Source organism: Homo sapiens, chromosome 14, assembly GCF_000001405.40.
Source record: "Homo sapiens chromosome 14, GRCh38.p14 Primary Assembly".
NCBI classification, from domain to species: Eukaryota; Metazoa; Chordata; class Mammalia; order Primates; family Hominidae; genus Homo; species Homo sapiens.
This window is the reverse complement of record NC_000014.9, coordinates 79,236,030-79,260,752: the sequence shown is the minus strand read 5'-3', so window position 1 is coordinate 79,260,752 and position 24,723 is coordinate 79,236,030. Positions and strand designations below refer to the sequence as shown.

Sequence of the window (24,723 nt, the reverse complement as noted above, 5' to 3'; positions counted from 1 at the left end):
TAATCTGAGCTCTGAGAATTTATAAAGTAACATTGAGAATACAACCCTTTCGGAAACTGAGGGCTGCCTGCTCTTCTGTTACATTGTGGGTGGCAAGTGGGGTGGTGGTGTGACTATGATATTGGGCTTTCTATTTCTGTAATGTGGCAAGGATGCTGAGGAATTCAGCCCCCAAACTGAGAAGTGCAGAACAGCACCAGATACGAAATCATACAGAGACAATATACACCTATGTTGTGGGTGGCTGTGCGGATGGGGGTGAGGGATCTGTCAAAAGTACTCCCCAACACAAGCCTCTCTGTTTTCTGGTTTAGCCTAGTTCTCTGGGCCTTAAATGGGAGAGTTTTTCCTTTTTTGTGAGATTAATCATGTTTTATTAAGGACAGATCATACTTCCCACCTGCTAGCATCCCAAGACGTGTCTGCCTTTTTAACAATTCTTAAAACACTACTCAGTTTTAGCTAGAGTCTTATAAAATAGAATTTATAGATATGGATATGTGAGTCTTATAAAATATAATTTATAGATATGGATATGTTTTAAATACATAAGATATATGTATTTGTGTATGAGAGAACATGAGTCCCATCTCACTAAAGTAATAAGGTAGATACATATTTGTACATATCAAAAATATTAGACAAGTATGAAATAGAAAATAAATTTGCAAAACTTGAGAAAATTTCAGGAAAACATATGACCAGGATCATTCCATAGTGCAAATTCATCAGCTCTACTTTATCAGCAATTATGCTCTGGCACAACTGAGTGAATGGCACTCTTGAATTCTGCACACAATGGACGGTAAAAGGAAAGGTGGGGGAGACAGAATAGGAGAAATTAGATTGATTTCCTAACTTTCTTACCAATATCTAACCTTCCCATGTAATGCACTGAAGATAGTTCAGTGCTCCATGTAGATGACCCCAGAATATCAATCTTGGACTCAGTTTTCATTCAACATTATGACTCAAAGTTGAAACAGAAAAGCTAAGTGTGTGTGTATATGTGTGTGTGTGTGTGTGTGTGTGTGTGTGTGTGTATAAAACTATATATATAAACTATATATATAGCTATCTATAGATAACTATATAGCTATATATAGATAACTATATATATAGCTATATAGATAACCATATATATAGCTATATATATATAACTCTATATATAGCTATATATAGATAACTATATATACAGCTATATATATAGATAACTATATATATGTAGATACATATATATATAACTAAAACCTTATTCTATTGATGCTACAACCACGTTGACGTTCCCTGCAGATAAGGGTTTTAGAAAAACACTAGAGAAATGCTGACTACAAATGCTGACAACAGAACAAGCCCTACATTGGAAAGTCAGAAGTTTTCTGTATGAGATCATGTGAAACAGAAGGTAGGAAAAAAAAGCTGGAAGATAGAGCTTAGAAGAAAGACCAACACCTCCTCTTTCATAGCTGTAAACAGCAGATAAGGAAGTCTACTTCTTTTGACACACAATGTTCTTTATTTAACATCACGAACAAAAGCTCACAACCTTCCTTGCCCTACCAAGGGACAAACTAAGATGGGATGCTGGGACTGTTTTACAAGTGGTCACATGGTGACTACACAGGTTGCGATTCTCCCCTGTATAGCTGCCTCTTATCTTTTTTTTGCAAGTGTCTCAACCTGGGATGCCTGCAGAAGATTCCAGAAAAGAAAAAGTGAGGAAAAAAAATAAAACCCATGACCACACTGTCTCTCAAAGTCTGTTTGAAGGACATCTGATCCCACTGTGTTTGACACAACCAAACCTATCTCTACTTTGTTCTATTACTCAAAAGGGCCATGGAAGTTGAAGGAAAAGACAAAGTTTCAGTTCTAGAAATGCTACCTTCACTTAATCACATACCCTTCTTTTCTCTGCCTATCTGTTTCTCCCAGAGATAAGTGTTTTATCTGAGTATCTGTTTTAGAAGAGACACTAGGAGGAATTGAGCATAATGATATCTCCCATTAGAAAGGCAGTGTTTGTTACTTGAGTTTGTCACCAACAATGAGCCAAGAGCTGGGAGCTATCTTATTTCTCTTCCATATAAAACTGGAAGAACTGACCCTCAGAGAAATTATAAAACTACATCCTTTGGAGTCCCTCTGGTTATTAACACAGCTGAAATTCAAATTAAGCAAAAGAATAAAGCCAGAATTTGTAGAAACTGAAGAAGAACAGGTTATTTTTAAAAATATATAAGGAATGGGCCAGGTGTGGTGGCTCATGCCTGTAATCTCAACACTTTGGGAGGCCGAGATGGGCAGATAACTTGAGGGCAGGAGTTCGAGACCAGCCTGGAAAACATGGTAAAACCTGGTCTCTACCAAAAACAAAAAAATTAGCCAGGTGTGGTGGTGCGCACCTGTAATCCCAGGTGCTTGGGAGGCTGAGGCACCAGAATCGAGAATCACTTGAACCTGGGAGGCGGAGGTAACAGTGAGCTGAGATCACACCATTGCATCCCAGCCTGGGTGACAGAGCAAGACTCTGTCTCCAAAAATTAAATAAAGAAGAGAAGAGAAGAAATGAAGCTTAACAATTTTTGTGACCCTTATGCAGAACTTTTAAGCATGAGTGTAAGAAAACATCATTTGAACTGGTGGGGAAATTCTGAAGACTCTAATCAGTCTTGACCCTACCACTTCCTCACAGTGATTACTAACTTAAACAGATCAATTCATTATGTCTTGTAGGAAGAAGTCCTTTACCACTGGGATTCAAAGAGATAACAAAAGAGAACAGTCACAACTTTTTTTTTTCCAGTCTATTTTAGGTAAAGCAGTAGAGAAAAGTTTAAAATTGAATAAGAATCATTTTCCTTATTGTATAATTTCTCGGCCTATAAGTTAATTTCTTAAGGAAAATACAATAATTTTACAGGAATTGAGAGTTCCTGGACATTCTTCTTGCTTTATACATTTAAAAATCAAATGTTACTTGTACAAAGGTTGATATCATGATCTTCCTGAGTTATTAGGTCATTTTTTTCCCTCTGGTCTAATTTGTCTTACTTCTCAAATGCACAAACACATTCCCACACTTTCTTGCTGATAAAAGTTTCTGTGAGGCAGCATCCACCTCCTAATACCATCGTCACCACCACCACCACCACCACCACCATCATTACCATCACCACCACCACCACCACCATCACCACCACCACCACCACCACCATCACCACCACCACCACCACCATCACTACCACCACCACCACCACCATCACCACCATCACCACCATCACCACCACCACCACCACCACCATCACTACCACCACCACCACCACCATCACCACCATCACCACCACCACCACCACCACCACCATCACCACCACCACCACCACCACCACCACCACCACCACCACCACCAGGAATAAGACAATTGCTATCCACAGAACTTCTAGCATGTGACTCTTTAAATAGCTGACATCTGGAGGAACTATCTGATACTTGTTACTTACACTCCACTCAGCATGAACGGAGGTTGGCAGAGAATTTAGCAGCACATCTTATTTTTAAAATATCTCACACCTCCCCCTCGCCCTCCCTGCCTTCAAAGAGAGGTTTAAGCAATACACTCTTATTTGCTGCTGTAAGAGCCTACCACCTTCTTCCCAGGCATGCAAGTGCTTTAAAAAGAGGGCCCAAGGCTGTGACCTAATGCCCAGGTGGATCACCCAAATTATTTAAGGACAAATAAGACAGCAGCCAAAATCTCTTGTTTTCAGAGATGAACTAAGAAGTGAACCTTATAAACCTATAATCAGTCAGGCAGCCTTTCTTTCTGTCTCTTTCTGTCACACACATGTATGCATGCACACACACATGTGCACACAGACACACATACACACACACACACTTTAAACATTGCTTAACAGAGGTCTGCCTACTCTTTTATTGTTCTTTTTCCAAAGGAAGATAATTATCAGGTTAAGAGAATTAAGTTGACTTGACAAAATTAATGGGATTTTTAAATTCAATTGTGACCCGAGAGAAAGCCACCTGCTCTGCTTCTGGCAGAACAGGCTGTCCAAAAGATCTCTGTCCCTGTTCCAGCTGCTGTGAAGTCAGATGAACAAATCTCAGGAGATTAATGCTGGGCACTTAACCACTTGGAAAGCCCAAGTCCCTAAAGAGTGAAAGCTGCCTTTGATATTTAGTAGTCTCTCTTTGGGGGGCTCAAAAAGCAAATTAAACTGAGAGAAGCGTGGAGGTGCTAGGGGGCACTCTACTACAGGAAATGGTATTGATGATGTAGCATGGAGCTGGCAGAATTGGGAAGTTCTGTGTAATTGCTAACAATGTGTTAAGTGTTATCACAGAAGGTAGTGGTACCCAACACTGACTAATGACAACAGTAATTATGATTAGGAGTAGTGCTGATAAAAACAATTTCAACAGTTTGAGAATTTTACCTTTGCTTGGAACAACGCACAATATTTTACGCAGTCAAAATCTGTAATTCCTCACAGCATTCCTTTAAGTGGCCAAAATGCTCTTCTGGGGGGTGTGTGTGTGTGTGAGAGAGAGAGAGAGAGAGACAGAGAGAGAGACAGAGAGACAGACAGACAGAGAGAGAGAGAAAGACACACAGAGAGGGAGAGAGACAGAGAGAGAGAGGAGGGATGGACATAAAGAAATGCATTTAATATGGGTAGTAGGCACAGTATTCACCCTGAAGCAATCCTGAGATGAAGTGTTGTTTTTCCCTTTTCCAAGAGTTGGATATAGGATTATCATGGACTGTTTAGTTATGGGTTCCCAGCCTCCCATGGCAAATTTCCATTATTGTATATTCCCAATGATCAAAACTGAGGAAATCTGGCAAAATCACCTTCTTTCCCCAAAACAGAAGATACCAATCTAAGGCAGCACTACCAATCAGCTTATGAGCAGAGACTTAAAATCCATCTTCTAGAGAAGAAAATGTGCTAGATAATGATCACAATTACCATTTTGCTGGCCTTCAGCCACCAGTCTTGATGTGTGACAATTTCAGAGGGCATAATCCTCGCTATGTAGCACCATGTTGAAAATTACACTAAAGCATTTGGAGATAAGCAATGGATAATAAGGATGATAATTAACATTAATTTTTAGAACATTCTGGGTATTACGATTCACATTCTACTTTAAATTATCTCATTTAATGCAACAACTTGCAGTAGCTAAATTTTTTCCCATTTTACAAAGAAGAAAACTGTGGTTTAGAAAGGTAAAACATCTTGCCCAAGGTCACACAGGGATTAAATGGTAGGATTGGAACCCAATATCTCTGGCTCTGGTTGTCATACTCTTAACCCTATACTGCCATTTAAACACTATCTGTAAAACACCAGGCAGGGTAAGCAATCAGTACCTATTAGCTATCATCAGCTAGTATTAGTCCCTGCTAGGAAAATCTGGCCTATTATGGAGAAGGTTTACAGTGTCTCTAGAATACTGTGGAAATGCCTCTATGACGGCACTATGGAGGCTTGCAAACAGTGGAACCAGATGGCCTGGGCCACTCCTGACAGTGTGAGTTTGTGATTGTTTCTGTGCAATGAGTTTAGGAGGACTGAAGAAGAGTTTAATTTCAAAATTGGCTCAGGGAATCAAGGAAAGCTTACAGAAAGAAGAAGTCATTGTGTCGTCTTTAATTGGTCTGTTATGAAAGAAGGAATGCTATTCTCCTTCAATGAAACAAGGCTTAAATCAACACCGCCCTTCCAAGCAATTATGGGAGTTAGCGCAAACTTGCCAAGCAAAAGCACATAAATCAATTGAAAAAAGAGGTAGAATCAGAGACATCTACTAGAAAGGAGGGAAGAAAGGAAGGGAGGGAGGAAGAGTTGGAGGGAGGAAGGGAGAAAGGGAGAAAGGAAGGAAAGAAGGAAAGAAGGAAAGAAGGAAGGGAGGGAGGGAGGGAGGCAGGCAGGGAGGGAAGAAATTGCCTCCCAAAGCATCAGCAGTTTTTTCACTAGTTTCCCCTCTAAAGCCTGTAATGCAAGACATTCTTTTTAATGCAGTTCTTTCTTTTCCTCTCAACTGATGGCAGCTAAAGTGGTCTGAGGCCAGCACAATAATGAACTTTGCCCAGAGAAGAGTCCAACAGTAAGACAGCATCCTCCTTGGCCTGCCCGCATGTTCGTCAGCTGTTCAGCACAATGTCAACATAAGTGAGCAAAGCTTTGGATGAAAGAAACTAGAAATACAATGTCTCCCATTTTTTCTGCTTGAGCCTATGGAGCAGAGTGAAGAGGTGAAATATTTCTTTTCAATGTCTAAATTCATCACAGAAAAGTCACCAAGGAGCTTCATTAAGTGACAGTCTTGTAAATGAGCTGATCTTCCCCACTGCTTGAGACCAAATTGTTCTTTCTTTAACAGATAGCAGATTACTAAAAGCGAGTTTCTGCCATAGAATGCTTAGATTCAACTGAGATTATCAGAATATTCTTGGTTTGTCACTGCATGCCATGCATTCTTGTGGACTGTGTGTTACAGAAGCATGGATCAGCCTAACAATCTCTTCTCTGAGAAAGGCAGAGGGGACTTTTGGAAGATGGCCTTCAGGTTGCCCCAGAGTGTTATGGGGGCACATATTTTTCTCAGACCTTTCTCTTCTTCTTCTTATAGGAAGAAGGGTAGTCAAGAAAAAAATAAGTTAGACCATGGAATGGAAATAATGAGAGATGGATCCATTTGTTTTATTATTTCTCTTTTAGATGCTCTCATGCTGATCAAATAAGAGCTAGTTCATAAGCTGAAACTATGAACTTACAAATGTATTCTACTTAAAGAAACTCCACAATTTGCCTCAATGTTTTGGGCACCCACTTGCTTGATGATATCGTTTGGCTCTGTGTTCCCACCCAAATCTCATCTCAAATTGTAATTTCCACATGTTGGAGGGATCTGGTGGGAGGTGATTAGATTGTGGGGGTGGTTTCCCCCATGCTGTTCTCATGATAGTGAGTGAGTTCATCACAAGAGCTGATGGCTTTAAAAGTGTTTGGCAGCTCCTGCCTCGCTCTTTCTTTTCCTGCCGCCTTGTGAAAATGTGCTTGCTTCTCCTTCACCTTCCATCATGATTGTAAGTTTCCTGAGGTCTCCCCAGACATGTGGAACTGTGAGTCAATTAAACCTCTTTTCTTCATAAATTACCCTGTTTCAGGTAGTATAAGAAGAATAAGAGTAGCAATATAAGAAGAAACTAATACACTTGGTTAGCAAGAAGTCTAATTTTGCCCTCTAGGATGTCCCTCCCTAGTTATTTTCTGTAAAAGTTTTTGGGTGAGAGAGGACCTTCTCGCATATGTCAGATTTCTAGCCTCATGCTCTGGAGGCCACGTATGTCATTGTCCTTGAAAGCTTTTACTGTATTCCCCACAGAACTGGCAACCATACCTAAACTATGGCCGCACAGGGTTCCCTGTCTATCTACGAGTAGTGGTTCAACACCTTCCTCCTGTCAAAACGCAATCCTTTCAGAGCCCTTTCCCACAGAAGAACAGTAAAGACACAAGTGACAGGATTCTTTCTTTTGCAAACAATCTCTTCCCCAAAACACACAGACAAGGCAGGAGAACAGATCTAGGAATGTTCAGAACCAGTTTCAAACTTGACCTGGAACCACCTCCTTCCCTCAACATCCAGGTCACGCTACTTGGTCTAGTCAATGGGTCATGTTGTACCTTCATCCATGGCAAGTTTCCATGAAGAACCCCATTTTCTCTCCTTCTGATGTAAGTTCCTTGGGAGTCTTCAAGTCTTCATACAGATGTGACTGAACCACATAGGTGCCACCTAGACTAATGGATGTGGCTGGGCAACTCTTGAAGTATGTCTTGAATGTTATATTGAAAGTTATGAAGTTCTCCAAATGTTCTAAGAAAGGGAGGAGGCTCATCTTTACAAAACAGAGGGAAGGTATGTTCTAGCTCCACAAGTGAGTGGAAAAATTGTGTTGCTGACTGCCCCAGCCCTCACTCCTCTGTTGTATTTGTCATCACTTTGGAAAGGTCTCATTCGCTGCTTTCAATGTAATACTTAACATTATCCCACTTTTCTCGCACCCTCTGAAATCCTGTTAATTCCCTCTTAGATCTGAAACAGTTTCTAAAGTACTATCCCTACCCACCTCCCACCACCACCCCCCCAACAAACATCCTCTCTTTTAACATCTGATCTCCTCCAAATGGATCTTTAGAAAGCCATATATGCAAAATGGACATTTTACTGAGCTTTAATCATTGGCATGACAGAATGAAACAAGATGTCAACTACAAGATCTGACAGAAATAAGAAGAGGAAAACTCTTTTCCATATAAATATCCCTGGCAATTAAAAAGGAAAATGACATAAATAGGGTGAAAAACAAATGAAAAGTAAATAGATTCCAGTTGTAAGGCTGATATGTCTGAAAGGTTTTCTCTTGAGGAGGATCCTCTATTAAGATCTTGGAAGATAAACTCGATTTCTGGTTATTATGCATTAGTGTTATGCCAATCACCTTGACATTCAGATACACCACCCTTGAAAGAGGTGGAATTGGAGGCATCTGATTAACCCGTCGGAATGTACAAGAACTTTAAGTACAATAGGATATTTAACTGTCAACTAAAGTAACTATCTTTAATTTTGTAGAAAGGATTAGCTACTTAGTGTTCTAGATAAAGGTACTATCAGAAAGAGAAAAATGTAACCTGGGGAAGATAGGAAGACCTTATTTCTACAAAAAATAAAAAATTGGCTGGGCATGGTGTGCCTGCAGTCCCAGCTACTTGTGAAGCTCAAGTGAGAGAATTGCTTGAGCTCAGGAGATCAAGGCTGCAGTGAGCCATGATCATGCCACTGCATTCTAGCCTGGGTGACAGAGCAAGACCCTGAAAAAAAAAAGAAAAGAAAAGAAACAAAAAGAAAAGAGAGAATAAAAGAGAGAAAAATGGGGGTAATAGTGCAATGAACCTGACAATTTCTCATTTTCAAATATCCCATTAGTTTTTCTCCTATCACCCGTCACTTAAAAATGTGCTCTCCCAGGTCTGAGCTCTATCCTCAATGGTATTGTTCACCACCTGTGAATCCTCCCATGGATTCAGCTACTTCCTCTAAGTGGAGGAACCCCAGATCTATATCTGTGATGTCATCCAATAATCCGAACCATAACCACCTACTGGACCTCTTTCTACAGATGATCCAAACTCATCATTTTCCTTATTACTTTTCACTCCTCATTTTACCCCTACTTATTGTACGTTGTATACTGTAGTTAATGACATCATAATTTTTCCATTTATTCAGGCTCAAAATTCTGAAGTCATTTCTTGAAAGACGCCCTTCCCTCTCCCTATCTAAACTAGAGAAATGACTATCTCCACAGCATCATTCAGCTCGGCCCCTGTTTCCCATTCTCAGAGTGCTGTTCATTCCCTAGTACCTCTTTGAATGAATACAATGGCATACTAATGCAGTTCTTAGCTGCCAACACTGTTCTCGAATAGGGCCTGCTACATTTCCCCGGAGAAATCTTCCTAATGTGCAGCCCACATAATTTCACTGCTTTGCACAAAATCCTTCAGTGGCTACTTATTTCACACCTATGGAAAGTTCTAACTCTGCATAATAGTATTCAAAATCCTCTACAAACTAGCCCTGTCCTATCATGTCAGCTGTAGCCTTCACTCTAACCCATCCCTCATACTCACTACCAGACCTTTAACAAATCACCATTTCCCTGAACACACCTGATGTCATTTTTCCCATTTTTATTTTTGATTGAGTTACTGAAACTTACTATTTGATGGACATTGTGTCAAGTACCAAGGTGTCAAAAATAAATAAAATGATTCTTTCTTTTAAGTCATGTTGTCTATCAGATATTCAAATTTCAAAAATCTCTCAAAGACTTATTTAAATGCCACCACTGCATGAAATTGGATCAGAATTCCTGATTAGAGTTTCTCTGTCCTGTGTGTTACCAAGGCACTGTCTACTTCTGGCATAGTATTTTTACATTCTGTCTTGGATATATAATTATTGATAGGTGTGTTATTTCCTTCACTAGATTCTTGAATGTTGCATGGTATGCAAACAGGGAATGGGCTTCTGAGAGATGAATCTGGGATTATTTCCTGGTTTTTACCACTAACCAGTGAGTTCTTTAACTGCTTTGTGTCTTGGCTTCCTTACTGTAAAAATGAGATAATAATACTCATAGTGACTTGTGAGAATTAAACAAGCAAAGGTTTGTAAAAGCTCTCAGCATATCATAGAGACTCAATAAATACTAGTTTTCCTCCCTCTTTCCTTCTCTGAGGACAAGAATCTTACAATTTAGGATGAAAATTTAATAACATCCATCCTTGTCACATTGTTCACATTTTCTCTATCTTTTCTTTCAGTGTAAGCAAACTCTACCTTTCATGTTCCCAAAGCCTACATCATATTTCTCTCCTTCACATTGCCTAGTCTCTGTAGTCCAATTATATTACCTCATTCACTCATTTATTATTCATTTACTTAGTTCTGACTTTTTGCTAAGATTTTCTGGAATACACACTTACTATTTTTACTATATATTTAGAATTCCTCTATCTTTTAAAATAAAACAAATTTCTGTTTATGTTTGCATGAAGGAAATATTCACATGTCACAGTTCTGCTTATTAACCCCAGCTGGTAGCACTTACAGATGAGTGACTTGACAGCTCTCTGTATACTGATTGGTTATTAGTGCATAAGCACCATTTTTTAATAACCAGATATGTTAGCATAAGAACATTAATAATACAGGTATATACTTTATGAAAAGCTTATAGTCATTTATTATTTCAAAATTTAACAACGAAACATTTTTATAGTCAAAGATTCCCCTCTGCTGCTAGGCAGGTACACTGGGTTAGATATTCTCACTTTCATCCCAGATTCACTTCCTTTCCTTCTCTGCCCACTAGAAAGGCTGACTGCTATAAGCTGTATAGATCACATCATAAGACTGTCTTTTTCCTCTGGCTTCTTGTATATTTTGGCAGTGGAGAGCTCAATAAGAGAAACATTGGGCATTTATTCATTCTTCCTTCCAGAACCCTCCCTGATGTGTTATGAATGTGCCAGTAGCTGGGTTATTTTATTTAGGACCAAAGTGATAACCGAGTTGCCTCTCTCACAAGGTTGCAACACCAGCCATGTTCATGGAATCCAATTGTCTTCTGTGGCCATTCAAACCTAGGGACAATTGAGACTTTTCACATTTTCTCATCCCTAAGTGTTTCACCAGCACTTGCTAATTTTCTTACCTGGGAAATAAATCCCTTCATTAGTTTCTCTTCATGTAACCATTTTGTGTATGCCTTCTTTCCTTTGGGACCCTGATTGCTATGCCCCTCCCACTTCCAAGTTTTTGTTTTGTAACTCTCCTTGGTCAGTCAACATCACTGAACATTCATGTGCCAGACACAGTTTTGTAATGAGTACCCCCATTTTTATAAGAGATAATGTATTTTTTCTCTTTTCTTTTTTCCCTACTTCCTACTTAGCTCTTTAGACATGCAATTATAACCTTTTACCTTCCTTTTTCCAGACACTCCCTACAGGGCAAGTTCATCTAACTATGTGCTTAGAAGCTCCAGAGCAGAACTCCCTCTCACCAGGAGATCACCTCGAGAGACAACAGTCAATGTACAACCTGAAGTGCCTGCTACAAAACTGTCTCCCACCAGGAGAGTTTTGGCCACGTTTACAACCTAGTTCTGCCCATGAAGGCACCAGCTGTCACCAGCTCAACCACGCAGTAGATTAGGCACTGCAGTGAGTTACATGACCCCACCTGCATTTCCCTCCCCTGTGAGCCATTCATGCCAAGATGCCTTTTAAAAGTGCCTGCTTTCTGCTCCAAAAGTAAGCAGTACTCTTAAGGCAGGAAGCCTATACTTCTTCCCTTAAGCTAGCTTTGGAATAAAAAGTCACTTTCTTTATACTAGAACTTGCTCTTGTGAATTGGACTCGGCAGGTGGCAAGTGACTGAATCTGCATTTTGGTTACAGTATAAGGCATTGGCGACTCACTGACAAACAAGTTGCACTTCCTGAAGAGAGTGTGCAACTATGGTCCACTGAAAGAGACATCCAGAAAGGTATGCAGTTATGGCTCAGTGTGATAGGTGCTTCAAAAAGGATAAAGAAGTCCCATGGGGACACAGGAAAACTAGAAGGACTACAGGGGATGGGGGAGCAGGAAAGCTGGGGGGCCAGAGGTATATTTCAGAGCAATTAGAACAGAAAGACAAGTATAGTCTGTCCACGGAAATGGCAGCAAACAGGGAAGAGAGAACAGCTAGAAGGCATTTCAGGAAGGGGACCCAGCATGGGCAAAGTCCTGGAGTGGAGCCACAGTGCATTCTTTGTGGGAAATTGTAAGTCATGGGGTATGGCTAGAATCTGTGTGGGGGCATGAAATGGGATAATGCTCAAAAGGAAGGGAGAGCAGATGAAGAAGGGCCTGGAAAATCATAACACATTTGTATTGTAAGCCGAGGTCATTGAAGGGCTGTCTGGAGGGTTTTAAGTGGAGGCAGAAATGTTATCATATGTGGACTTCAACTGAACATGGCGGTTCACGCCTGTAGTCTGAGCTACTTGGAAGCTAAGGCAAAATGATCACTTGAGCCCAGGAGTTCAAGGCTGCTGTGAACTATGATCGTACTGGTGCCCACCAGTCAAAGAAAGCTCACTCTAGGGACTGAATACTTCAGAAGCATTTGTAAACATCACAAGCTATGAGAGAGGGTGATAGATAACAAGTGGTGAAATGTGAATTTAGAGTGTTTTTTTTTTAATTTTTTTATGAAGGCCAGTAAACACACACAATGTAAGGTCTTGTGATGCAGAAGAATAGAGGTGGAAAAACTCCTGGGTTTTGAAAAGGTTAAGGACATTAGCCCAAAAAGCAACATAAATGCATGTTAAAAAATAAAAGAAGCTTTCTCATATAAACAAAACTTCATAAATTACATACATAATGTGTATGTATACAGTCTAGGAAATGATTTCAATGAAAATAAAAGAGAATAAGACAACTACCTAGCTTTTGGCTGTTTCCATTTTAAAATAAGATTGGGAAAGGTATAAGGGGAAAATATTTATTTTTGAAATGTAGAAAAATAAGGTGATAAATTTCTGCCAGGGAAAATATGTGCAGGGAAACTTGTTGCTCTTTCTTTGCTGAAAAAGACCTGCTGTGGCAAGTTCCACAGATGGAAGAGTTTGATTAGTTTTGGGAAAGTGGACTTGTGAAGTGGGGACATGAACAGATTGTTCTATTACTGCCTGTTAGTATGGCAATGCATATTTTGCTAATTTTCACTTAACCTCTTCTTGATTTAGTGGCTGTCAATGACAGAAGTGAGAAATAAGACTGCAGGACTTACTTAGAAGCCACATTTTTCTTCTGGTCCATAAACTGTGAATCTTTGGTAACGCATCTTCCATTGGGATAAAGATATTTAGGTAGCAGGGGGTGGGGAGTGGTGGTAAATGAAAAGTGTAGAAGGGAGAAAAAAGAGATAATATAATGAAATAGTATTATGTAACACATCTAACTTGGTTTTTCCTTTTTCTTTCCTTTACAGTATGGTTTGCAAAACCAACGACCCCAGAGGTCAAGCAGGTAATGCAAATTCATGGGCTGGGTTTACAAATTCTGGTGCTCAAGCATTTTCATATTTGGTTGTTATTACTAGAACTGGCAGTTGGCTTTGGTGTTAGTGGGATGATAGGCAATGGTGGGGACTGTAAATACCCAAAGAATGTCCAAAACAATCACTAATAATCACTAGCAAATTTTTTGCTACATGGGAATGCAAGTCTAGTATTGCAATGTCTTCTGATTTGCCAAGAGTAGCTAATAATTTTCATGGACAGCTCATTTTTATCTACACTATTCAATTTTAAAATGTTGTCTCAAAAAGTTTTTAACCTTGTTGCAGGGAAAACAAAACTCATCATCTGTAAACCTGATCCAGTTTTGCTTTATTCTGATTTTTGCCATTAAACTTTAAACAGAGTTAACTTGTATCTTGCACTTTCTAAAGGCCTCTAACTTCTTTCAAAACACCTGACATTTAAAGAAGGCCATGATGTGAGAAGAGAGAGAAGTGTGTGTGTGTGTTAAAAAAAGGCTGTTCACATGTTTGGAGATCACAAGGGAAGGGTGAGGTTTATGCTAGATAAAGACAAGGCTGGATTCCACTGGATGGAGAGGATCGGCTAGCATCCAGGCATACAGAATGTAAGCAGAACCTCGGACAGAGTCAATGCCACCACAATTTGTACCAAACAATTCCACTAAGGGTATTGTATTTAACTCCATGTAATCGCTCCATGAGTGAGGGAAGAAAGTATGTGGAAAATCTTGGAACTGGGAATAGGTCAGTCAGGCTAGATTAGAAATCTGAGCTTTCCAGGCCAAAATTATCCCTGGCTAGGCCAAATGGCTTTTAGCCTAACAAGGAATGGAAGTAATTCAACTCCCTTTGCAAAGTTGGTTATTTTGTTCCAGCCATGGGAATATGCTACTTTGTGAAAAGTGTCCCTTACAGTGTCAATTCCAACTATGGAAAAATATAAGGAATAGGAAAACTACATTGAAGTGCCCACACTATAGTGTTCCAGCAATATTTCTTTTTGGTTTGTTTTCCTCTTCTGGTTTTTGTGAAATGTTTTCAGAGGCAGAGCCATCACTTTCCAATAGAAATGGCATCTTTATGAAGAAAAACCTGAGTAGAATCTAAGGACCTATGACCCTTGACACCTTACCAAACACGCGCCTGTACTCCTTCCTCTTTCCCTTTTTTCTTCCTTTAAAAACAATTTATGTGTGTTTCTGTGTGATGAACAGTATCGCAGTGATTATTTTTTAAAAAGGACTCTGGCCTCCTTGCAGACTAGTAGAGGAGGAAGAAATTGAAATAAACAACGGAAAATCAGTGGATGGAATCTATAATGCAATGTGTGCCAGGAGTGCTTGCAACAAAAATGAAACTTATCATCAGAAACAACAATATTTTATTCTATTTATTAGGGATTTATTATGTTCCAGGCACTGTGGGTTGCATGTAACAGAAATCACCTCGTTTAGTCATCAAAATAGTTAAGACGTGATAATTTACTGTTTTACTGATAAGGAAACTGAGGCTTAGGAAAGATGAATATCTTGACCATAATTACATGAGAACTCATTCATTCTTTCTTCTCTCTCATCTCGCTTTTTTCTCTCTCTTCTTTTTCCTTTCCTCTGTCTTCTCTCTCTCTCCCTACTCCTCTCTTCTCTCTCTCCTTCTCTTCCCATGGTCTCTCCCTTTCTCTTCCCATGGTCTCTCCCTGTCTCTCTGGATTCTGAGGAGTCAATGACATGAAGTATGCAAAGCATGGTGCATAGAGTGTGGCAACATCATAAAGTCACAATAAATGGTGGCTGTTATTACTTGGCCACATCAAGGAAGGCTGTTCAGGGGCAGCAGTGCTGGAACTAGAGATTGAAAGATGCTTAGGTCAAGTAGCTGTGACATTTTTCATTTCATTTAATATTTATTAGGAACCCTGTGAGATGGGCATCATTAACCTCACCTTTCAAAGGAGGAAACCAAAGCTCAGCAAGTTTAAATAACTGTCCCAGGGCCAAAGAACTCGCAGGCTGGAGACTTGAGACTGGGACCCAAGAATCCTAATTCAAAAGCTAACCTCCTTCCACTGTTATATCCTGCCTTGATGGCTTTTAGACTCGACAGTTGAAACCTCTAATCCTTTAGTGAAAATAGAGCGAAACACTGAACAGATATCGGCTTCTTGTTAATCCTTATTCCCTAGAGTTTAAGTGTTCCCTTGGAGACTTAAAAGATACATACAAATGAGTTGAAATCATTGCCTATTCAGTAATGCCTCCAATATACGCTTATATCTTCTCCAGTAACTGAAATAATTATATAAAAGAAAGGAAGGAAAAAGAAACCTGGTGCAAAGAATGGGTTTGCAGGAAGGTCTTCTTAATGAGCTCTCCTCAGCACATCTTGTTGTCTGCAAAGGAAAGGTGTGAACAGAGCCAGTACAGATCTAGCACTAAGAATTAGTCCAACTTGCTCCTATCAATTACACTGAATTTTCTGACAAACCTCTACCGCTCATGGGAAATTTCCTGACAGGATGCTAATAAATCTACCTAACCTTGTCACCCCCCACCAATATGCCAAATTTGCAGCATTCAAGATAAATAACGTTCACGCGTTATGAGGCTGAACTGGACTTCTCAGAATTTCCATAAGGCTGTGGCAGGTTAATGATAGAAAAGTTTTTTTATGTGTGTGTCCAGAATGTAAAAGAAAATGCTCATCTTCTGAAAAGCACAAATCGGCAGGCAAAGTGTTTTGCTTCTGGGCCCATTTTAGATGTCAGGGAGCATAGGATTGAGGAGGATCAGGTCACATCCATGTGCTTATCTGCATAGTACAGTACCACATTGGAGGAGTATGCAGAGAACAATATAGAGGACTGGAGAGAGACTCTTAGAAACTTCAATGCCTAGATCTTGGGACTGACCAGTCAATATCAAAGATGACTATCGGCAGGTTTTCTTTCTACCCAAATCATTAGTTGCAGAAAGAAAATCATCAAACGATAGAGCCAGGATAATTGTGCAAGGATAAGGATGATTACTGGGTCCTTGAAGAACAAGTAGCTTTGTTTGGTGATGTTCCTAAGCGAAACACCGTAGTTAATGATAGTGTGGCATATCTGCTAAAAGCTGGGATCTGGAGCCTGAGAGCAGGGGTTCAGATTTTTTTTGTCACTTGGAAATTTTATAATATGATAATAATATAGCCATGTACTACATAATGACATTTCCATCAATGATAAACTGCATATATGATCATGGTCCCATAGGATTACAATACCATGTTTTTGCTATCCCTTTTCTATGTTTAGATATATCCAGACACACAAAAAACTTACCATTGTGTTACAAATGCCTCCAATATTCAGTACAGTAACATGCTGTATGAGTTTATAGCCTAGGAACAATAGGCTGTACCATATAGCAACAGGCTATATCGTCTAGATTTGTGTGAGTACACACTATGATTTTGCATAACTACAAAATCACTTAAGGACACATTTCTTAGAATGTATCCCCATCATCATGAGACATGTGGCTATAGTACAGATTTCACTGGATTGTTTTACGCATAGGATTATGACAACGCACATAAAGCACTCTGCATCCAGTTCAACACATAGTAAATGCTCAAAAAAAAGATTCCTTTTATATAGGTTACACTCTTAGTTAATACCCTGCTCAGGTATTGAATCCCCCATGAAGCCTTGACCTCCTCCCAAATCTAGCTGAGCCAGTTGCTTATCTGCTGTATTTGGATGCTGTCCTATGTATGATTCTATCACAACACAGAAAATTATATTATAGATGACATCATTGCATCTGTTTCCCCTAGTAGACGGTGGAATCCTTAAAAGAATCTGAATTTTTACATTGTATTTCTTTGTTTTAATCTCGCATATCTATATAGTACCCAGTACATGGGAAGTCATAATAAATGTTTGCTGAATCAGTATATGAATGCATTATCTCATTTTGTTCATCTGAAATACAGGAAAGATGAATGCTTAAACTTCTAGGTGGAAAGGCCAATTGAATAAATGGTTAATTGTGTCATATTAATGTCAATTAATATTCTTCTGGGATTTTGTTTTTCTCAGTGAAACTATGGGAAGGAAGAGTTCTTAAGGTCCTGTATGTTAGTAGCATAATTGCCAGCAGCAGATGTACTGTTGGCATGATACACTGTAAAACAGCCTCCACTGTTATGCCTCAGCATAGAACATATGTAATGAATGAACTGCAAGTTCCTTCTTAAGAATCTTCCAGGCAGATGCTGTAACAGGATCCTTGGGTTGTGCAGTCCCAGCAGAATCTGACTGATGGAGCTGAATGAGACTTTAGCCCTCAGGTTGTCTGCCTCACACTTCCTAATGACCTTATCAGAAGACCCAGAGAGGAAAAACACAGAGCTGAGAGCAGATGCCATTAGTACACTTAAGCAAAATTGCAGTTACCTCTGGAGAGGGCATGATAAATACTCTCCTCGCTGGAGGTAACAACCCTCACTGCAGCTTTAGGTCCAGGGTAGAGTAAGTAAACCTACTAATGGAACCCAGAGGGTAGCCAATTAAAACACGCCACAAAGCTACTGCAATTATTTATTTTAGAGGTCTCTAACATTTAGCAGGAGCAGGAGACAGTGAAGATTCTAGGCTCAGAAACACACTCCTTTGAGCCAGCATGCATGCTGAGTGGCCCAGGACTCCTGTTTTCTGCCCTTAGCTTGGCCTCAGATCTGGCTTGCCTACTTCATACACTAACTTCTCCAGCTGATCTTCTAGGATCTGAGCTTTACCTCTCCATGAGTATAGAATCCCAAAAAGCTAAGAGCCCAAGTTTTGTAGTCAGATAGACCTGGGCTTGAATCACTGGCTGTGTTACCTTATACACGTTACATGACTTTTATGAGTCTTGTTTTTCTCATCTGATAAATAGGTGCTAATTACAGTGATTTACCTGATAGGGTTGTTTTGAGCATTTAATTTTTTTTTTTCTGAGATGGAGTCTGGCTCTGTCACCCAGGCTGGAGTGCAGTGGCGTGATCTCTGCTCACTGCAACCTCTGCCTCCTGGGTTCAAGTGATTCTCCTGCCTCAGCCTCCCGAATAGCTGGGATTATAGTCACCTGCCACCACGCCTGGATAATTTTTGTATTTTTAGTAGAGATGAGGTTTCACCATGTTGCCCAGGCTGGTCTTGAACTCCTGACCTCAAGTGATCTGTCTGCCTCAGCCTCCCAAAGTGTTGGGATTACAGGCGTGAGCCACCATACCTGGCCAGCATTTAATTTTCAACATGAATGTAAAGCATGTAAAAGTTTCTGGTACAAGATAAATCCTCAAGTAATATTACCTTTTGTTGCTGTTATTGTTGTTTTCATTACTGTAGCCATTTGAATTTGCCACTGATATGGTTTGGCTGTTTCCCCATCGAAATCTCACCTTGAATTGTAATAATACCCACATGTGAAGGGTGGGGCCAGGTGGAGATAACTGAATCATGGGGGCAGTTTCCCTCATACTGTTCTCGTGGTAGTGAATAAATCTCATGAGATCTGATGGTTATATAAATGGGAGTTCCCCTGCACAAGTTCTCTTGCCTGCCGCCATGTAAGATGTGCCTTTGCTTCTCTTTTGCTTTCCGCCATGATTGTGAGGCCTCCCTAGCCATGTGGAACTGTGAGTCCACTGGACCTCTTTCCTTTATAAGTTACCCAGTCTTGGATATGTCTTTTTTAGCAGCATGAGAACAGACTAATACAGCCACCTTGGCCATGATTCTCTTTTTGATGAAACTAAGCTACATAGTAACTCACTCTGGAGGACTATGTGGCTTTCTGATGTTGGTCTTTCTTGATCTTTCCTAGGCTATTTTTCATCTTGTCCTATCTCAGAGTTGCCCTCTAAACCTGACCATGTGACACTACCAACCATAAGAATACTGATCTGGTAAATAGCAACTATTTTAACTACAGGTTCTTTGGAATTTGTGTCATTCCTCCAAGTGAATTCAGATGTGATTTAAACAAGAGGCTGTGGATGTTGCAAAGATAAAGATATAAAGGGGGAAGGACACATACATGCACACACACATACACACCCAAACACACTTTTAAATTGTATTGCATAGACCCTATTGGGGAAAACAAGATATCACTTCTAGATTCTGCACCTGCATGGCATGGGTGTAATGAAAATGCCTGTCAGGGAAAGTAATGTGTTTAATATTGTCCTAGTCTTAAACATCAGCAGAGATTTCTGTGCATTGCAAATAATTCCAACACCTGTCCATATTACACTGCTCTGTGTTTTATCTGCGGTGGGATGATATCAATATGTCAAGCATGAAAAAAAGGATGTTTTATGAGATTGATGTAGGGGAGCACAAAGACAAGCACATAAAAAGGGCAGCCAAAGATGCCACAAAGTTGTCAGAAGAAAAGGGCATGATCTCTCACTGGTGTGCATTGAGTTTATTCTTTTCTCACCAAGTGTCCAGAGACTGTCAAGGATGCTAGTGGCCATGATCAAGGATTTTAAAGAAGACAAAACAATGCTGATTAGAAAAAGCCTTTCAGCAAGCTGTGAGTACCTGGGAGATGAATAACAGATAAAGGCTGTTAGGGACCATAAGGGAAACTAACATAAGAGTATTCCAGGGTGAATTAGTGAGCGATTCCCAAGAGAGGCTACCTTTGCAAGGTAACAGGGAGGAAAACTTCTTTGGGGCCTGAAGCATGGTTGCTGGGGTGGGGGCAGGAGTGCATTTTTCTATAAGGAATACATTTGCATATGGAGAAGAAAGAAGATGGTCTTCAATCAGATGGATACCATTCTTATGAAAGTAAAATTTAAAAAGAAGACTTAGAGATTATTTTTGGGCATACTATAATTGCATATATATATATTTGTATGGTACACAGTGATGTTATATCTGTACAGTATAGAATGATTAACTCAAACTAATTAATATATCCATTTTCTTAAATACTTATCATCAATTCCTTCTAACTAAAATTTTTTACCATTTGACCAACATCTCTCCATTCCCCCTACCCACTACTTCTGGTAACCACTATTCTATTCTCTGCCTCTATAAATTTGATTGTTTTGGATTCCACATAAGTGAAACTATGCTGTTTTAGTCTTTCTGTGTCTGGCTTATTTCTGAACTTAGCACAATGTCCTCCATGTTTATCCATGCTGCTGCAAATGGCAGAAATTCTTTCTTGTTTAAGGCTGAATAATATTCGATTGTGTATATACCACATTACTACATTCTCTTCATCCATTTATCCTCTGATGAACACTTAGGTTGACTCTTTATCTTGGCTATTGTGAATACTGCTGCAATGAACATGAGAGTGCAGATATCATTTAGACACGCTGATTTCAAGCTCTGGGGATATATACCCAGTAGTGGGATTGCTGAATCATATGGGAGTTCTATTTTTAGTTTTATGAGGAATCTCCATACATTTTCCATAATTAAAGATATTTTTTCTTAATCTTTACTCTTAGTGCCCACTTTTGGCCTTTGTTACCTCTTCTCTACTTTTTTTGTAATAGCCTCTAAGTGATCTCCTTACCTTTTGTTTCCTTCTCCTTTATTTAATTCTGTATGACCAGTGGTTCCCTATTGCCTTCTGAGAAGAGTCTCAGATCCTTTATCCAGAATTAAAGGCCCCAATCTATCTTCTCATTGTTATTATCCACTATTTCTTTATGTACAGTAGTTCCCCCTTCTCCACGACTTTGCTTTCTGCAGTTTCAGTTACCCTTGTTCAACCATGGTCCAAAAATAAGTGAGTACAGTACAACAAAATATTTTGAGAGGGAGACTATAATACATTCACATTGTTTGTATTACAGCATGCTGTCATAATTTTCCATTTTATTATTAGTTATTGTCATTAATCTCTTACTGTGACTAATTTACAAATTAAACCTTATCATAACTATGTATATACGCATGTATGTATGGAAAAAACATAGTATATATAGGGTTTGGTGCTATCCACAGTTAAAGGCAACTACTGGGGGTCTTAGATCATTTCCCCCATGGAAAAGTGGGGGCTTCTGTACACTAATAGTTATTTGGCATCCAATAGGGCCTGGACTGGATATGGGATATCTCTTGGCAAAGCAAACATCTTGCAGTAACTTTGAAATTGGTCCCAAATAACACAAAGAAATGCTAGCTATGACATTCTTTCTCTGGATCTGTTGCTAGGGGCTCCTGGAGAAAAGATCACCCAGTTCTCCAAATTACACATAAATAATGGAAACACAACATGAATAAACTTTTCACTCAGTATTTGGAAAGTTTGTCTAGAAACCACCTGCCTTAGAAGCCGCTGGAATGCCTTTTTAAAAATGCAGATTCTTGACCTAATTCTAGACCTACTGATATTATAGGATCTTTGTAAAAAAGAAAATTAAGATACATTAGTAATATAGTAATATTTACACATTTATTCCATGATATAAATAAATATTATATGTGTGTGTGTGTAATGTATCACATCACAGCGCTTGACCTTGGAACGTACAAGACTTCCAACTAGTGATAACTATTAGACCGAACAACTGTTTTTCAGGTTCGCCTTCTCTCCTGGGCCCTAGATCCATTCAAGCAAGTTTCACTCCTCAAGTGCCTCACATCCTACATGGGAGAATATGTCTCTATAGGGATAGATAAATAGATGGGTAACTGTTAAATGTATACACAAATAACTTAATGATTAATATTGTGGGCATGTAACTAATCTAAGTATTTATACACGCAATATGTCTACAACCAGAACTAACTACATAATTTGTGAGGCCTAGTATTAAAAAAGTGAGTCCTTTTGTTTAAAAAATATTAAAACTTTCAAGGTGGTGATAGGAGAGCATTAAACTAAGCACACCCGCTTGTAAGTCCAGGACCCCCATGCACCTGAACTCATCTGTGATGTATATAATGTTCTTCCTATATTTATCATTCCTCCCATACTTATCTATTTCTCTGATCCCTTTGTATATAATCTGACTCTACTATCAAGCTTGGATTTAAAAATACCTCATAATTAAAAACCATATCATTTTAGCACTTTTGATTATTTTCAGAGCATTATCATAAACCTTCACATTTAGTCATCACAGTGTTCCCATGAGGCAGACTCAATTATTACTCCCATTTCACAGATAACTAATGCTCAGAGGTTAATGGACCTGTGCAAGATCACAAAATCATTAAGAAACAGAATACGGATTTTAATCCATGAATAAAATCTTAGTGTCCTTAATTCAAATCTCATACTATTTCCTTCAAACTGCATTTGACGGTATTTGCAATAAGCTTCTCCAGGGTAGGGTGGATGAGTTGTATCTCTTTGCTTCCCCATCTCTTAACACATGGACCATAATAGGTATTCAATAAAGATATATGAAAAAAGAGCATTTCTTCTTGGAGTAAAGGAGAAAAGGCCCAGTGTCTCTTCTGATTTCCAAGAGACAAGGGAAGGAGCCAAAGCATTCCTCTTACTAGGTGACCACCCAGCCCTGCAGCCAAACTCCATGCCTTCCACAGCATATCACCTAAGATAATCCACCTGTCCCCCGCAACCAACCCTGCACCCCACTGTTGGTTGTATTCATTTGCATTTTTCCAGGTTGTGTTGAATTTTTATAGCTCTGTTTCTAATATCCCCAGCTAGCCATCATCTCCCCTGTACCGCCAAATCTGCTCATTTTAATCTTAAATGTATCACTATAGCTAGCTATTAGGTCCTTACAATACTTTAAATAGAAACTGGGCAAGCTCTGATCCTTTTTTAAAAACATGTGTCTGCCTCTTATCCAATCAATTCATTGCTATTCTCTTTTCCCTTCTTCCAAATTCCTCTACTGCAACAAAATGTTGAGACATAAGTTGATTTTAATTAACTTTTCAAGCTTTCTCTAAAGTTAGGCAAAACATTACAAGTAAAAAAAAAAAACACCCTTGTGACACCATACAGTATAATTAGTGTGCAGTGGTTTATATATATGTACATGTTTGCAAGCAGTGAATTTTTTTAACAGAAATAAATGACGGAGGAAGAATCTTAATTCATGTCATTTTATAATATGCAGATCTAACACACTTTTAAAAATATATATATTTTTAGAGAGGGTCTTACTCTATCACCCAGGCTAAAGTGCACTGGCACAATCTGGTTCACTGCAGCCTTGATCCCCAGGTTAAAGTGATCCTCCCACCTCAGCCTCCCTAGCTGCTGGAACTACATGCGTGTGCCACCATGCCTGGCTAATTATAAAAATTTTTGTTTTAGAGACAGCATCTCACTATGTTGCCCAGGCTGGTCTCCAACTCTTGAGTTCAAGTGATCCTCCCACCTCGGCCTCCCAAAGTGCTGACATTATAGGTGTGAGCCAGCATGCCTGGCCAGATCTAACACACTTCAATAAGAAGTAACCTCCATACAAAAAATATATATTTTTCTACCCTGAGATATAATTTCTCTACCCTGGGGAATGGTTAATATTCAGTTTAATGCTATCACCTATGCTGATAGAAAGAAGAGCTCTCATATACTTGAAAATTTTCTTCTAAGATATTGAGAAATTTGTGTATTAAGGGAAATTTATAATAATAGTGTCTAACGCTTATCAGCAAATTATGATTCATATATACATACATATACATAAATGTATGTGAACATATGTACATATACACACACATAAATACACATACATATATATATATACCTACCTATATACACCATATAAATATTTAATGCCTAGAAATACATCATTGAGTACTTTCTTGTATAAGTTTGTGAGAACGTGAAGGTGAGTGGAAGTGTGTGTATTGGGTGTCTGGATTTGAAACTACTTTGGAAAGCTAACATCTCTGGTTTATAAATATAACTCATTTTTCACAGCTTCAGCCAGATTTTCTCATGGCATTGTGAGAAAATATCAATAAAGTGTAATTATTCTCTTGCTGGACCTTATGTGCAGTAAATTTCCAGATAACCAAATTTT

The 24,723-nt window shown here is 39.1% G+C and overlaps 1 protein-coding gene across 52 annotated transcripts in view, besides 1 other annotated feature; it reads right to left on the bottom strand.

The window, feature by feature from the left end:
• NRXN3 (neurexin 3) overlaps positions 1–24,723 on the bottom strand; it is a 1,697,919-nt gene that overhangs the window by 607,539 nt on the left and 1,065,657 nt on the right. The gene's annotated exons all lie outside the window — the stretch shown is intronic.
• Positions 9,590–9,759: an enhancer, noted in NCBI's record as "experimental_37268 CRE fragment used in MPRA reporter constructs". NCBI's record gives its function as "activates a minimal promoter by MPRAs in K562 erythroleukemia cells, with activity observed for both the introgressed and non-introgressed 14:79717422 variant alleles {active_cell/tissue: K562}" and the evidence as "EXISTENCE:reporter gene assay evidence [ECO:0000049][PMID:34662402]".